Source organism: Homo sapiens, chromosome 14 (assembly GCF_000001405.40).
Source record: "Homo sapiens chromosome 14, GRCh38.p14 Primary Assembly".
In the NCBI taxonomy this organism is placed as follows: domain Eukaryota; kingdom Metazoa; phylum Chordata; class Mammalia; order Primates; family Hominidae; genus Homo; species Homo sapiens.
In genome coordinates this window covers 80,391,483-80,407,181 of record NC_000014.9, presented here as the reverse complement: position 1 = coordinate 80,407,181, position 15,699 = coordinate 80,391,483, and the positions used below count along the sequence as shown (strand labels likewise).

Below are 15,699 nucleotides of genomic sequence, written 5' to 3'. Positions count from 1 at the left end.
TTTTATTTTTGACTTATTCATTACTACTATATAGAAATACAAATAATATTCGTGGTATCTTGGAAACTTGCTGAACTAATTGACTAGTTTTAATAGTTTTTAGTAGATTCCTAGAGGATTTTCTATATACAAGATCACGTCATCTAAAAATAGAGATAGCTTTCCTCCTTCCTTTTCAATGTGGATGCCTTTTATTTAATTTTGTTGCCTATTTTCCCTGGCTAGAATTGCTAATACAATGTTGAATAGAAATGACAAAAGCAGACATCTCTGTTTTGTTTCTGATATTCACTATTAAATGCGATGCTGTGAGTTTAATATGCGACCTTTTGTATCTATTTTTTGACACCAAAAGGATCATATCAAGCTTACTAATTTTTAGCCTGATTTTCCCCCATTATACCACAAACATTTCTCCATGCTATTAAACAGTATTTTCTACATCACTTTAATGGCCACATGCCAGTCTATTGTACGTGACCACCCTTTAAAATTAATTCTTTCATTGTTTTTCTAAGTTTAGTAATTCCAAAAATTATTCTATAATCCCATGTAGTTATATCCATAGCTTTTTACTTAGGTTCATATCTGAGAAGTAGCATATCTGAGTCAAAAGGTACGCACCATGTGATAGATTTTCATATTCATTTAATTTTTATTCTGCTTATTTTGTTTCTCTAACTGAATTGTCAGCTTCTTTAGGGTAGAACCTGAATTTTGCTTTTGGGTATCTTCCATAGGACCTACACAGGGCCATTCACCAGAAGGTGCTTAGGGAAAATATTTAAAGGACAGGAATTTTTTTTTTTTTGTCAACAAATTATTTATTCTTAAACATCCCTCATTATATCTAAGATATTCCAACTGTTCTTTTTTTGTGTTTGTGTGATATAAAATGACACATGCACACATATACCTTTTGATAAAATTAAACATTTTTGATATACTTTATCCAATTTTATTTTATAGTTATTATTTCTATAAGTGTCTGATTATCAAAGGTATTTCAAGTCTTTCTTTTTCTTCTTTTTATTAGAGACAGAGAAGTATGGGTGTTTGGTGAATAAAGTTAGTACAAATTTTAGCTGCTTTTACATTAATAGCCAGACTGAGTTAATATCTTCAGCTTGTCTAAACAATCATCACAGGTAGTAACAATAAAATTTTGCAGCTAAATACACACAAATTGAGAAATTGGGTATGTTTAGTAGGCAGTTTGCAGAGGCAGCAGACATCAGGAACAAGATGAGTTAAAGAATGACAGGGGAGGAGACATGTGAAATAATATGAAAGGACCCAAAAGAAAATTCACGGAGATCTGTGCCAGGTTAAACAAACAGGAAAAGATAATGGCTATTAAATGTGAAGAATCTGAGCGTTTGTCCTATGAGAGTTTACTATCTTATACATTGCTATTCGGATATTACTGTGCTAAAGAACAAATGACATTTTGTTTAAAAAAAAGAGTGAAATCTTTCTCATACTGGACGCTGTTTGACTTCAAAGTTGTGTTTCAAGGAGATCTGTTAGCGCTGTTTCTAGATGTGCTATTTCAAAGCCAGGGACTTTATGTGTATGTACAATTTATCTCATAGCATATGTTAACGAGAAAACCTCTTTTATGAAATTTCACTCAACTGTTAGCAAAGTCCATGCCTTTTAAAGTTCAGAGATTTCAGAGTTTCTTATCAAGACATCTACACGTGTATCTCCAGCTCCTTAGCAAGGAATATAAACATGCAAAAGATTAGCTCATTTGTTAATTTTTATTGAGATGCAAAATGGTAATATTGTGTTGGATGCAGTGCTTGGAGTCCTTGTCCTTGGAGATTTTAGATTTCAAGTAGTGAGATAAAAATATAATAAAACAAGGTTATAGTGATATAGTATAAATATCTATTATGCAGCCTTATATATCCAAACTGCTTAAGACCAAGACAAATCCAAAACATTGAATATCTATACAATCTGTGGAGATGTTTTTGAGGAGCTAGAGGCACAGGGACTAGAGGAGTCAGATAAAGTAAGAATATGTTCTGTTGTGCAAGGAGCCAAAGATTCTGAATGAGATGGGGGCTTGAGACGAAAGCATGAAGTGGGCAGACATGATTTCAGATGCCCCCTTTTCCCCCATCAAATTATAAAGCAGGAGTTATATTCATTTCCTCAGTTCAGGAGAAAGAGAGGAAGATTTTAGGAGATGCTAGGTCTGTATATATACTGGGTGGGGGAATGGTTTTGTATTATTTTGTGATATGGTAAGTTAGGCGCAGCCACAGGGAGATAGAGGACAAGCTCAGGGGGAATTATTTTTTATTATGCTCACAGGTCCTAGAGACAATTAGTATGATATGCCACATAAAGCCACGTGGGAAAAACACCAGGGTGGTTAGGAGGCAGAAAACAGGCGCAATGGGAGTCCTTAGGCCACAGTCTTAGGTTTCCAGGGGAAAGGGAGGGCCAGGGCAGAGCCAACAGTTTAGGATTGGCTCCTTTGAATAATTTCAGTGAGCTCTAAACCACAGGAGGGGTCCCTAGTTACCTAGCACCTGGCTCTAGCATGATTAAGACAGAGGAATGTTGTCTCCTAGAGGGTATGGGCCAGATAGAGAAGATGTGGCTCTGAACTGCTTAGTTTGTATATCAAAGACACTCTCCCAGCTGGGTCCTTTGTTATATTCCTGAGTTGGCTGGCCCAGAAAAAAAGCAGCCTCTTCTCCACCCAATATATTTTTTTAAGATGTCAAAACATCATAATATACAGAAAATTAAAAATTCTTACAGTATAGGAATATAATGAAAAAAATGCTAAAACCTATGGATCAGCAGGATCAGTGGAACACTCAAAAGAGTTCATCCTCCTCTTCTAGGGGCATGGTGCTATCTTTGTTTGGATCCTGACACCATCCACATATAAGGCTGGGAAGGGACATGCCAAAGCTGGATGAACTAGAAGGGTATTACTGGCGGGTCTTTGTTCTTGGAGCTCCCAAGATGGTGGCAAGCCTTTTGTCCTCTGACCTGGGGTTCTTGGCCTCACAGATTCCAAGGAATGGAACTGTGGGCCATGCAGTGAGTGTTATAGCTCTATTAGAAGCTGTGGGTCATGGAAGAGAACCGTGGAACCCTGCGACTAGTGTTCAGCTTGATTAGGACAGAACCCGGGCACTTAGCCGTGCAGAAACAATAGCGAGCTTCTAGCCCAATTGGGAGCGGCAGTGGGCGCCTCGCTGGATCAGAAGCACAGTGGACACCCTGCTGGATCCAGAGGGATGGAAGTCAGTGGAGGGTCTGCGACAGCAGTGATCAGCAGTGGTGGACGGCGAGCGAAAGCTCAGCTGGAGCCGGAACAAACACGGACCAGAAGAGCGTGCAGTTGCGAGATTTAATAGAGTGAAAACAGAGCTCCCATACAACGGAAGGGGACTCAAAGGGGGTTGCCACTGCTGGCTCCAATGCCTGGGTTTATATATCCTGATCATTGTCCCTCCCTCTGTGCTCTCAGGTGATAGATGTTTGACTCTTTACTTCCTGCTTTTGGCCTAATTGGTATTTTAGTGAGCTCTCTTTACTACCTGATTGGTCAGGTGTGAGCTGAGTTACAAGCCCCGTGTTTAAAGGTGGGTGCAGTCACCTTCCCCAGCTAGGCTTAGGAATTCTTAGTCAGCCTAGGAAATCCAGCTAGTCCTGTCTCTCAAGGGGATCCAGGATGCTGAGAAACATGTTATTAAAGTAATCAACTACAGGTGTGTCATTTCCATTGTGCCCTCAATTGTTCAATTCACAAAGTCTCCCTCTTTATTTCTGTGGCTGCTAATCTAGTAGGATTATTATCTACCCATGCTTGGGCCACTACACTAGACCCCTATGTGGTAACCCTTACAGGGCCTGCCCTCTTACCACTTATGATTAATCTTTTCACATCAATGATCAATCTTGGCAAACCTCACTTTCGGCTTGGCTGACTCTGCCTCTTTGAAGTTCCACTTCAAGTTCATGCTTTACCAACATTGGGATTCAGCAAATGATATCCAAAAGTATGGTGCTTTGGCCTGCAGAACACTTTGAATTAAAAGAAATTGAAAGACCTTAGAAGCTGCCTCAGAACCATGGACTTCTAACCTCTTGTTCCTCTCCCTGCCTAATGCAGGGAGGGGCTCTCTCCCTGGAATTTCCTTATCTGATGGGGGAAATTTTATCCAAAAGAAATGCAATTGTCTTAAATACCCTCCTTAAGAATCTCATTAAAAATCCAGGAAAGATTAACTAGTCATCACCATGCCCAGACAGACTTTTCATCTATTCTTCTGAAGGCAGTTCTAAGAGATTAACCAAGAGACTTTATCGGTATGGTAGGACAACCTTTGTCCTGCAACAACAATGCAGTTCTGTCCCTCCTCATTCTGTAATTTGTAGGTTCCATTAAGGTTCCTAAGGGAATCATTTACAAACTATTGTCTTCTTTTGGAGCCCATTCATTTCCCCTGAAAATCATTAAATACTCCTCACAATTGTCTACATCCCCCATTTCCCTCTCCACTATGAAGACTCAACGATCTGTCCCTTCTTTGAGTCTTTAAGACTCAACGATCTGTCCCTTCTTTGAGTCTCATTTTGTGTGGCTTCTGTGCTTACACATATTAATAAATGTGTATGCCTTTTCTCCTGTAAATCTGCCAGTTGATTCATTTCAGCAGCCTGGAACCTTCAGAGCGGGATGAAGAATTCCTTTTGCCCCTACATAAATAATTCTTCAAACTCTTTCATGAATTGTTATGAACATTATTTCATACAGTTCTGTTACAGTGGGTAGCTAATGAGGCATGAACAGGGCAGAAGAGGGCTCCCCACACCCCACCAGGGATGTAAGGCAACCATCAGGTGATGGTCAGGCAGTTGTCATGTGTCTCTCTAAAATAATAATTGGTAACAGCTGGTGCCAGGGAAGGGCCATCTCCCAATAGAAACACCTGAAACTGGTGATCAGTAGCTTCCTGATAAGATCTCAGGAGGTGGGTGAGTGGGCCCAAGCACGCACATTAAGAGGAAACATGGTGGAGTTTAACTGGTATATGAACTTGGAGGGACATTCGACAGGTAAGGGAAGAATACCTCAAGTGAGCCTGTGTACAACTACAGTAAACACACTGCACATGCTTACCTCCCAAGTGCTGGCAGGCCACTGCACATGCAGACAGCCCACCCCAGGGGAAGAATCAGGGGAGAAGGGATGCCAGACCCCAAAAGTATGCCAACATATAAAACCCCAAGTTAAAAGGTCAAACAGTGCCCTTGACTCTCTCAAGTCACCTGCTTGGCCCTCTTCCAAGTGTACTTCACTTCCTTGCATTCCTGCTCGAAAGCTTTTTGATAAACTTTCACTCCTTCTGTAAAAACTTGCCTCAGTCTCTCCTTCTGTCTTATGCCCCTCAGTTGAATTGTTTCTTCTGAGGAGGCAAGAATTGAGGTTGCCACAGACCCACACAGATTCGTTGCTGGTAACATACTTTAGTGCCATGTCTCAGGTATATTCTGCCGCTAACAGTTTTTTTTATTTTTTTGTTTTTATTATTTATTTATTTTATTTTTATTTTTATTTTTATTTTTGAGACAGAGTCTCATTCTGTCACCCAGGCTGGAGTGCAGTGGCACTGCAACCACTGCCTCCCGTGTTCAAGTGATTCTCCTGCCTCAGCCTCCCAAATATCTGGGATTAAAAGCATGCAGCACCATGCCCAGCTAATTTTTGTATTTTTAGTAGAGACAGGGTTTCTCCATGTTGTCCAGAATGGTCTCGATCTCCTGACCTTGTGATTCACCTGTCTCGGCCTCCCTAAGTGCTGGGATTACAGGCATGAGCCACCGTGACCAGTTTAACAGTTCTTTTATCAAATCTTTAGACCTTGCCCCACCTAGGTCGGAATTTTTAGTTTTGCTTCTGTGCTTTTGCTCAGCTGTTTTCTTAGCCCCACTTCCCTTGAATTAGATTCTACTTATTCTTCAAGGCCCAGTCTAAATTCTATTTTTAAAAAGTCAATTTTAAAAAATATTAAAAAATTATTCCGGTGACAGATTATACATTCTATTTTTAACTGGAAACCTTGGGCTACATACTTCAGCTTGTGACTGCTTATTTTTCTTTTTCTGTTTGTTAGTGTGGGGAAGACAAATATAATTTTCTCTCTACCCTTCTGAGTTCTTAGTTGGAATGAGATCCTGTAACAAAAGATAGATTAACAAGGAAAAAGCCTATAGAAGGTTGTTAGAGTGTATACCTCATTTATACATGGGTGATACTCAGGGAAAATAAGTCAATCTTAAAGAGGTGGCTTTGAGTTCGGGCTGAAATACCATCTTCAACTGAAACAAAGGAGGATATTGGGGGACGCTGTAATGAGGAGATGATCAGGAAAAGCTTGGTGAACAAGGGTAAGGTTTGTTACACAGATTTTTGTTGGTGCCTTCTCTGTTGACATTAGTTTCTCATAATTTAAAGTCATCCTTCTCTTCTTGGTACAGCGAGAGAGACACCCTTACACATGGAGATTTCCTTTATAGATATACATTTCTTTTCAAAAGGGAAACTTCTACTCTGTTTTCAGAGCTTCTCAAAATAAGTTTCTCAAAATAATTAGCACAAAATATTTTGAGAGCCCTGTTTTGGAATAGCATATTTAGGTCACCCATAGTCAGCTTTTGGAGTGATATAGTCTAGTCTCTCATTCCAGGAATAAGTCTATTAAGTAGGATTCTGAGAAAGAATTGATCTCATATAACATTCTGTTAAATCCAGTATTTCATATATTTCCATTCTGCTTTCCTAACCATATTGTAATCATTTTGACAATGGTAGCCACTGGGCACCAAGCAGTAACCCATAGTACATGCTTGTTGACAGAGGAAGCCATATTGAATAAGATAAAATGTCACAACCATGCAATGTATAGGGAAATGATCAGGAATTGAATGGCACTAGTCAGACAGTTTCTAAACAAGGTAATATAGTTTCACAAAGGTTTTTGTGTCTTTGCTTTTCAAAGGCTAAGAATGCCAGGAACAGGAAAGAAAAATTCCGGATATTATGTGGCCCACTGTGTTGTTTGGTGCAAACATCCTAGGGAAACTGGAACTTGGAATATTTGATGAGCCCTCCAACTATGGCATGTTAACCTGGAGTGTGCTGTATTTTCTTTTATTTCTCAGAATCCCTGTAATTATTAATAGTGGAGATCATCCAAGGGCAAAGAATGTGTGGTCCTTCTGACGAGGGGCCAGGTTCCATAAATAAAAGAGCTTACTAATTATCATCTCTTCCATCTCAAGTCCATTTCTGCCACCCAAAGCAATGAAGCACTTCATTAAAAAACATTACTATTTTATTTAAAATGCTAAATTAATTTAGTATTCCTTTTAATTTCCCGGGAGACTTTGAAGAGATTATGGAACCATCTGTGTATGCCCAGAAGTGATAATAATAATACTAGGAGAACCTGCCTCAGACTTGCTGGCCTTTTCTCTTTCAAAAGTGGCCCAAACGGGACCATTGCTTTTACTGAGTAGTTATAGTTACTTTCTTTTAAACTGGTAAGAAAGGAGACTATACTTGCAATTCTCTTTTAGGACATAGGTCTGTCAAAAATGAACTATACTGAAGTGAACAGTTCATGAAGACTATTTAATGGGGTTATTCAGTAATCAGAGTTCATGAAAAAGTTGAGCAAGTTCATTCTTGACTTGTTTTTATTCACTAAGTATCCTTTGGTAGCTTAGTGAAGTGCCTGAACCACTTGTTTGCCAGCTATAAAGCTGTTGTTTCTCAGCTCCAAGCCAACCTCTCTAAACTCCATGTTGTGATGCTGGGGCTAGGACTTTGTAAACTACATTTCAGCATGGCCAGCTAGCCCCTGCTAGGTTCTACCAAAAGGGGACACTACAGGAAGATGGCAAGGCTGGAAAAGGGAGAAGGAATTTTCTTCTTCCTGTTTGTTTTTCATGGTCTTCCCACTGTGCAATACTTCACATTTGCAGCAGCAATACCTTCCCATAACAACAGCTGAAGTCATTTGTTGTTTTCGTTTTTTCAACCCTTGCAGAGTTGGGTTATCCTGAAACTGCCTTTGCAAAAATTATAACTGAGTCAAGTATTACAGTGAAAGATACCTGACCTAACTGACTCCGTCTTGCTTCTAACTTCCATGCTGTCCTTGTTCATTGATGGTGGACCAAACTTATTTTGGGAGGAACTTCGTTTATAGTTTACCTTTGAAGTAAAGATAATAGCCCTTTCCCAAAACAAACCCATTTCCTGCCTGGGGACTATATTGTCTTTATAGGACTAACAAATTTGCCACAAGATTATTACAGTTTAGGAGTCATGTAGCCAGAGGCTGCAAGATTCTGAACCTCCCCAGATTGCTTCTAGGGATAACATCACTGTTGTAAAACTTAAGATCAGTGCTTGAGATATTTTTGCAGACCTTTTTCAGTACTTGACATCACATGACTGCAAAGCTGAAAATATTTACTATCAATAATATAGTAAAATATTTGCTAACAGTACTTTGTTTCAAAGTTTACTGAACAATAACTCAGTGTTCTATTCTTGCCGTGTTAGTTAACAAGTTTATACTGAACTAATTTGTTAAATATTAAATTCCTTCAGTTCAAATAACTGATATAGTTTCTGTCTCCTGCTTGGACCCTGACTGATACAGAAATTGATTCCACAAGTGATCTCAGGTAACAGACACTCCAAAATGGGATTTCAAAATTGGTTTCTTCATGTTCTTGGGTTTGAACACAATGCTGAAATTATATACTAGTAATCTATGGCATGTAGTAGCAATTCATTCAATCAAATTACCACTATTAGTGATTGTGATGAAGTGCCTGCTGAGACAACTGCCTAAGAAGCTGCTGAACTTGACCATTATGGCAGTAACAATGATTATAAGAACTTTGGTGTGGAATGGGTTTTCTGATAGCACTGAATCTCTTATAAAAAGAAAATGACAAACTCATAGACTCAGAGAGCTTCTACTGCTTCCCTAAAAGAATATTTTATTTCCACAGGGATAAGGTATTAGTTCATTTTCATGCTGCTAATAAAGACAGACCCAAGACTGAATAATTTATAAAAGGAAGAGGTTTAATGAACTCACAGTTCCACATGGATGAGGAGGCCTCACAATCATGGCAGAAGGCAAAGGAGAAGCAAAGGCACATCTTACATGGTGGCAGGCAAGAGAGCTTATGTGGGGGAACTCCCCTTTAAAAAACCATCAGAACTCATGAGACTTATTCACTATCAAGAGAACACCATGGGGAAGACCTGCTCCCAGGATTCAATTACCTCCCACCAGGCCCCTCACACAACATATGGGAATTATGGGAGCTACAATTCAAGATGAGATTTGGGTGGGGACACTGCCAAACCACGTCAGCTAACAGTGCTAAAAATCAAACACAAAATTTAATTGGGCAGGTTAATTATAACAAAAGTAAATTTATACCTTTTCCAAATCCCTCATGTCTGATCTGAGGGAAAAATGCATCCCTATCAGTCTGCTGAGATCTATCAACCCCTTCTCTGACTATTGCTTTAGATGCATAAAATAAAATTAAATAAAATATATAGAAATAGAAAATAAAATATGAAACCAATTATATTGGAATACAGTAACCAAATGTTTTAAAAAGCATGTTATTTACATTAATGGTTTAAAGAACAATATCTAGTGGTAAGTCTTATAAGGGAAATACATTTGAATATTTTTTGACATGTCTGCACCAACTATAATTTAATATGAAATATCTATGATTTCTATTGTTGATAAAGTCATGGGTAATGATAATACAAATGCTCCTTGACTTACGATGGAGTTATATCCCAATAAACCCATAATAATTTGAATATCTTAAGTTTAAGATGCATTTAATGCGACAGACTACAGAACATCATAGCTTAGTGTAGCCTACCTTAAACATGCTGTGAATATTTACCTTAGCCTACAGTTGGGCAAAATCATCTGGGAACATAGTACATGGTAGAGTATCAGTTGGTTACCCTTATGGTCATGTGGCCAACTGGAATCTGAGGCTCGCTACCGCTGCTCAAAATCGTGACAGAGTATCATACTATGTATTGCTAGCCTGGGGGAAAAAACCAAAATTCAAAATCTGAAGTATAGTTTCTACTGAATGCAAATTGCTTTTGCACCATTGTAAAGTTGAAAAATCACAAGTCCGGTATAAGTAAAATCCTAAGTCTGGGACCCTGTAGTACAGATTGATTATTTGCCAATATTTTTATTATTGAAAAAAAAATCTTAAATTTCAGTTGCGTTAATAAAACAAGGATGTATTTTTTTTATTCTTTAAGTTTACTCATCTTCTGAATTACATTCATGTACTCCAATTTAAGAATCGCTGTTTTAGCAGTATAGGTATTCTTGAGAAGTTAGCTAAATTAGTCGAAGTTAATTAGAGAAGCACCAAGGTTGGAGGGTTCCTTTAGTCTCCTTTTAAGTCTTTCTACTTACAACTCACCTTTGTATCTTCGTTTCTTACCTCAGTGATCTCTTCATCTAGGAAACTGGATAAAGTACATCTATGTGCATCTATATTCCCCAGGACTTTTGCTATCAAAGCATTTATGATACTTTACTATTAAAGTACTTTAGAGTACTGTACATTCCCCATCAAAGGGGATATGACACTGCTCATTTGCCTTTATGTATTCTCTCCACTGGACTATAAGCTGACTCCTATTACGGATCATGTCTTGCTTGTTCTTGTTATGTCGAGTACAGGGCCTGCTCAATCTATATTTGTGAATAAACAAGTGAATGAATAGAGGAATTTCAAGGTGGAAATAATTTTTTCTTTTATTCATGGCCAAAGGCCTTGACTAGGTATTTTATAAACATGTTGCCATGAGTGGAGATAGAAGAGAGACTGTGATCAACATGTCAATACAAATCTGCCCACGCCTGGAACCTACTGACAGTGATGCAGTAGATGTACCACTTACTGGGGTGGGCAATGTTGGTGTCCTACCCAGCGTTTCTTCCATTTTTTTCTTGCAAATACACTTATAATTTGTTTTTCAATATCAGTATGACATGCATGTACATCAGGGGAGACTGAATCCCTCCTTAGCTGTGGGAGTGGAGATGAGTCTTGATTAGCTCTCTAGTCACAGTAATTGCCATTGAAAGAACATGATTGGTTTAGGCATGGGCATATGATACAACTATGGAGAATGAAGTGTGGTGGCAAGTGTGCTGAAGGGTTTCTAGGAAAGGATAAAAGGACATGCATGGGAGGCAACATTCCTGTTTTCCTCCCTTTCAAAATGGTTATAAGGAGACGATGCGTAGAACTGATGTAACCACAGTGTGATGATGAGAGGAGCAGCTGACTGTCTGAGAATGGCAATGTGGAAAAATCGAAAGAAAGTAGGTCATTTGATGTCGTTGAGATATTGTATTCACTGCTGTACTTGCTATGTGACAACCAGTGTCTTTGTTGTTTAAGCCAGTTTTTGATTGGCTTTTTTTTCTTACTAACATCTCAACGTGTCATATCTGCCTGAGTTTTATAAGTGAGGGGCAGCTTCTCTAATACCCATGCACAGATGTGATAGGGAATTCATTCTGCTGAGATTTTGATACTTCAGAATAACAGAAGTCTGCCACAGTATGCAGGGATTCTTTTAGAGCTACAAAACTCTAGCAGACTAATTTGGAAAGTGGGTAGGGTGCCGGCAACTTCTGAAGCTCACCAAGTAAGAACATTTAAGTCTGGGTGATAAGCACATAAGCATTTGTAGGTGAACTAACCCCAAACACCCTTTTCAAACCGAAATATGCAATGGAGAGGCATTCTTCTGCAGCATGTTATGTGTTACCATGTTATGAAACAGGCTTTGACATTTGGATGTCTACCACTTGGTGAGTGGTTAGTTATAAAATGCTATTGGTTCAACAGATTATACTTCTGGAAAAAAGCCTGGACTTCTGGGATCTTTTTAGTGGCTGGTTTATTTGTATTTCCAAGGCCATTTTTCCAATAAGCCAACACAATCAAATTACATGCAGCTTTGAAGACTTTCTACCTTACAGTTTGACATTTTAATTAGGACTTTAAAGAGATAATAATCACAGCCCACAACTTCCCTAATGTTACCTAGAAATGGGCCAGTTAATTAGGATCCCAGAAAAACCACTGCATACATTTCTTTTTAATTGTTTTTCCAAGCTTCCATCACCACATCTCTTGGCTTCACCTCAGACCAAATCAAACAAACAGCAGGGAAATGTTTGATCTCTCTGGCCTTCAAAAAATCTAAGGGTGCAAATAATTCAGTTTGTGTCTACCATCTAAAAATGTATGTTTCACCCAACATAAGACATTTTTCTTTCATTTCAGGATTGCTTTTGAAGGGAAAACCATGCTAGTTCATTTCACTAGCTTATTCTCTGTGGAAGTGATTAAGATCCTGTTCACCTGATCCCTTTGGTTCTTATATCTAGATTTCATTTTTCTTTATCTTTTCTAGGGTAGCATTATGAATGGGTGGTCCCAGTAAAGAATGTTTTAATGCTCACAGACTGCATTTAAATTCCTTCTAAGGGAATTTTTATAAGGTGGAAGGAAACATGAGTCCATCTATTATTGAGAAACAAAGGGGCCCAGGGTGTCATAGCAATTCAAGAAATGAATTCTGTACTTTTGGGTGGGTTATGTGTAACAGGATGCTCTCTGCCTCACCAAGCCTTGTCCCTCCCTATCCCTTGGGTCAATATACAAGAATGGAAATGTGGTAAATGTCTAGAGTTGTTTGTCTAATGCTCTGATGTGTTTGGATACATTTAGGAGGGAGACGTGATTGCTGCTTCTCACAAAGTGTTTAAGGAGTGTAATAATATGCCACTTTGTCATGCTGCCAGGCAAGTACCTTTAGAGTCACTTTTGAACCTGATTACATGTACCTCAGTCTCCGGTTGGATGATTGGTTATGGCATTTATCTCAGTTTCTGAGTCCAGATATTACAAAGTTCCTTTAGTTAAATAGTTGGGCTACTGGTGGTTAATGTGAAGGATATCCTAAGCTTGCAACTTCATTGATGACTTCATTTTCATCATCATGCTAAATGGATTAACTTCAGTCTTGCTTGTTGTCAGAAGCAGATATACTGTGAAGTAAATGAAACTCAAGCTTTAGACTCCTCACTTGCTCGGGCCCCTTCCAAGTCTCAACAAGAGCTCTTGAGGTGCATTGATGTGATCATATGTTCTTGTAAAATTAAAAAAACATAAAATACTAGCAATCAGTTATGAACACAGTGATTTTCACAAGCACTTTTGCATCCACAATTTTGTACTCTTTTTCTTAGTGAGGGGACTCCCAAATTGCATAACTGTTAAGCCCAGCAAACCTGGATTTGTCTCTGCTTCTTATATAGGTAATATACTTTATTTAAGGTTGTAGGTTCTTGGTTAGAAGAGTGTGATGTGTCCAGATAGTTACAGGGTCACTTTTCAAGGTATCTGTCTAGGCAAAGGAGTGTCCCTGAAGTAGGAAGAGTTTGCTTGGAATGTTCTTATTTTCTTGTCTACTTGTTTCCCTGAGATTTCTCCAAATTTGGTATATTTCTCTGATCTTAAAGGCTTAAATGAGTTAAGATATGGGTAGCATTTAGGACAGTGGATGCACATGGTAAGTTTTCAGTGAATGCTAGCTATTATTATTGTATTTGTTTTCTCCAAATCTTGTAGTCTTGTGTTGTGTGTCTTTTTCTAGCTAATAACTTTATTTAGAGAACCAAGCTCAGTTATTATCACCTTGAGAAATGCCCCATTTCCCAGATGCATCACTTGGGTTTTTTTTTCTACTATTAAAAATATTTCTGGCATTATTTTCAAACATCTTGAAGAATAATCTAGTAAAATATTCTACAATGGACTACTGAAAGCTGATGATGGCTGAATAGAGTGACCCAAGATGTCATAGTGAAAGAGCATAGGGTTTAAATGCTGGCTCCACTGCATCCCATCTAGGTGACCACCCTCATTTCACTTCCTTTATCTTAGAAGAAAATGAGATAATACTTTATAAGGATGTTTTAGATACATACAGGGAAATCACAATATCTATAACAGCCTAGACACTGAATGAATAGCTATCGTTATTGTAATCAGGCCATTCTTGATGACTGTGCATCTGAGCCCCAAGAAAGGCATCTTTAATAGAGAAATTCAGAAGATGATTTTCTGTCAGTTGGGGAGATATTCAGAGGCATGGTGATGTGTCTAGTGTTTCTTAAATCTGATGTAGTTAAAATGTCTATGCCTATGAATAGCTTTGTGTTTTCTAAGATACAGGATAGAAAGCAATGATAATATAATATTCTAGCATACTTAGAAATACCGGTAACTCATAGGTCATTTTATAGGGTCTTACAGGAATTGGATTAGAAATTGTAAATCTAGCTAATGGAGTTTGAAGCCTATTCGAATTTGATAAAAATATAATCAGAAATGAAATCTGAATTTATTTGCCTGATTGATCTAACTTTATACTAGATTTCTGTACAAATTTAAGTAATGATTGGTAATGGTTAAAGATTTGTGACATAGCACTTCCAGGCAAATACGGTTAAGAATTAGTGAGAAAGAATTTGCAGGAAAATATGTTTCTCCAATCTCATTTGGATTTCATTCCACCCATCTTCACTCACAATCAGGCACTTAAATTACTGATTTCTACCTTACCTGAAAAATGTGATAAAAATAGCTATAGTATTCCCTTAATGTGCTTGGATAAATTATTTTTTATTATTGATTTATTTGTTTTTATATGAAACAGTCTCTTAATCTCTTTGTCTAATAGGTCTAAAATTGATAAAACTTTCTTTTGAACTTGAAGATATCTGTAGTTTCAAGGGTGTTAGACCTAGTTGGGCATGTCTACACTAACACACATAAACAAAATGGAGAAATTGCTACATGAGAGTATATGGAGCTTTTAAAAACATAAATATGTATCAGATATAAAATATGTAAAATTATAGACTATGAACTTCTTAAGGGCAGCATCTAGCAAAATGCCTGGAACATACAAATGCTCAATATGTATTTGTTAACTAAGTCAACAAATCAATTGGTTTAAACAGAATTAAATGGAATAGTTTGGACCTTATAGAAAAAACTCATGAAATATATTGGAAAATGTGAATATTTGATCCTCTTAGAGGAGTATCAGCAATTTTAGGGGATCAGAGATTTTAGGGTATAGTGAACAGAAAGGCCAACTGCCTCATTTTACACGAGGGAGTCAGTTGGCCAATTTGGTCTCATGCTCTTGACGCTATAGATATCTTCAAGTTCAGAAGAATGTGTTATTAATTTGGGTCCCATTAGACAAAGAAATTAAGAGACAATCTATCCGTTTCATGTAAAAACAAAACAAAACAAGAATAACAAGCAGTTTATCCAAGTAAAATAACTTGTTTAAATAAGAGATGGAACCAGGAGATGGTATAGAAAGCAAATTGAGGTTCACATGGAAACATTCCCATATGTTGTTTCTCCACGTAAATCAGTAAATGATAAGCAGAACTTCTGGGATAATATTGAGAAAATAAGTGCTATGTCAATGACAAGACTTGGTTTCTTCTAAAATTATTTGTCCTT

The 15,699-nt window shown here is 37.8% G+C and overlaps 1 long non-coding RNA gene across 1 annotated transcript in view; it reads right to left on the bottom strand.

Annotated features, from left to right (window-relative positions):
* Positions 1–15,699, bottom strand: part of DIO2-AS1 (DIO2 antisense RNA 1) — a 244,049-nt gene that overhangs the window by 48,286 nt on the left and 180,064 nt on the right. Inside the window, exons 6-8 of the long non-coding RNA NR_038355.1 lie at positions 12,996–13,199; positions 10,003–10,152; positions 3,901–4,062 (exon numbers count right to left, since the gene is read on the bottom strand). This is a non-coding gene — a long non-coding RNA (DIO2 antisense RNA 1). The remainder of the gene's footprint in view (positions 1–3,900; positions 4,063–10,002; positions 10,153–12,995; positions 13,200–15,699) is intronic.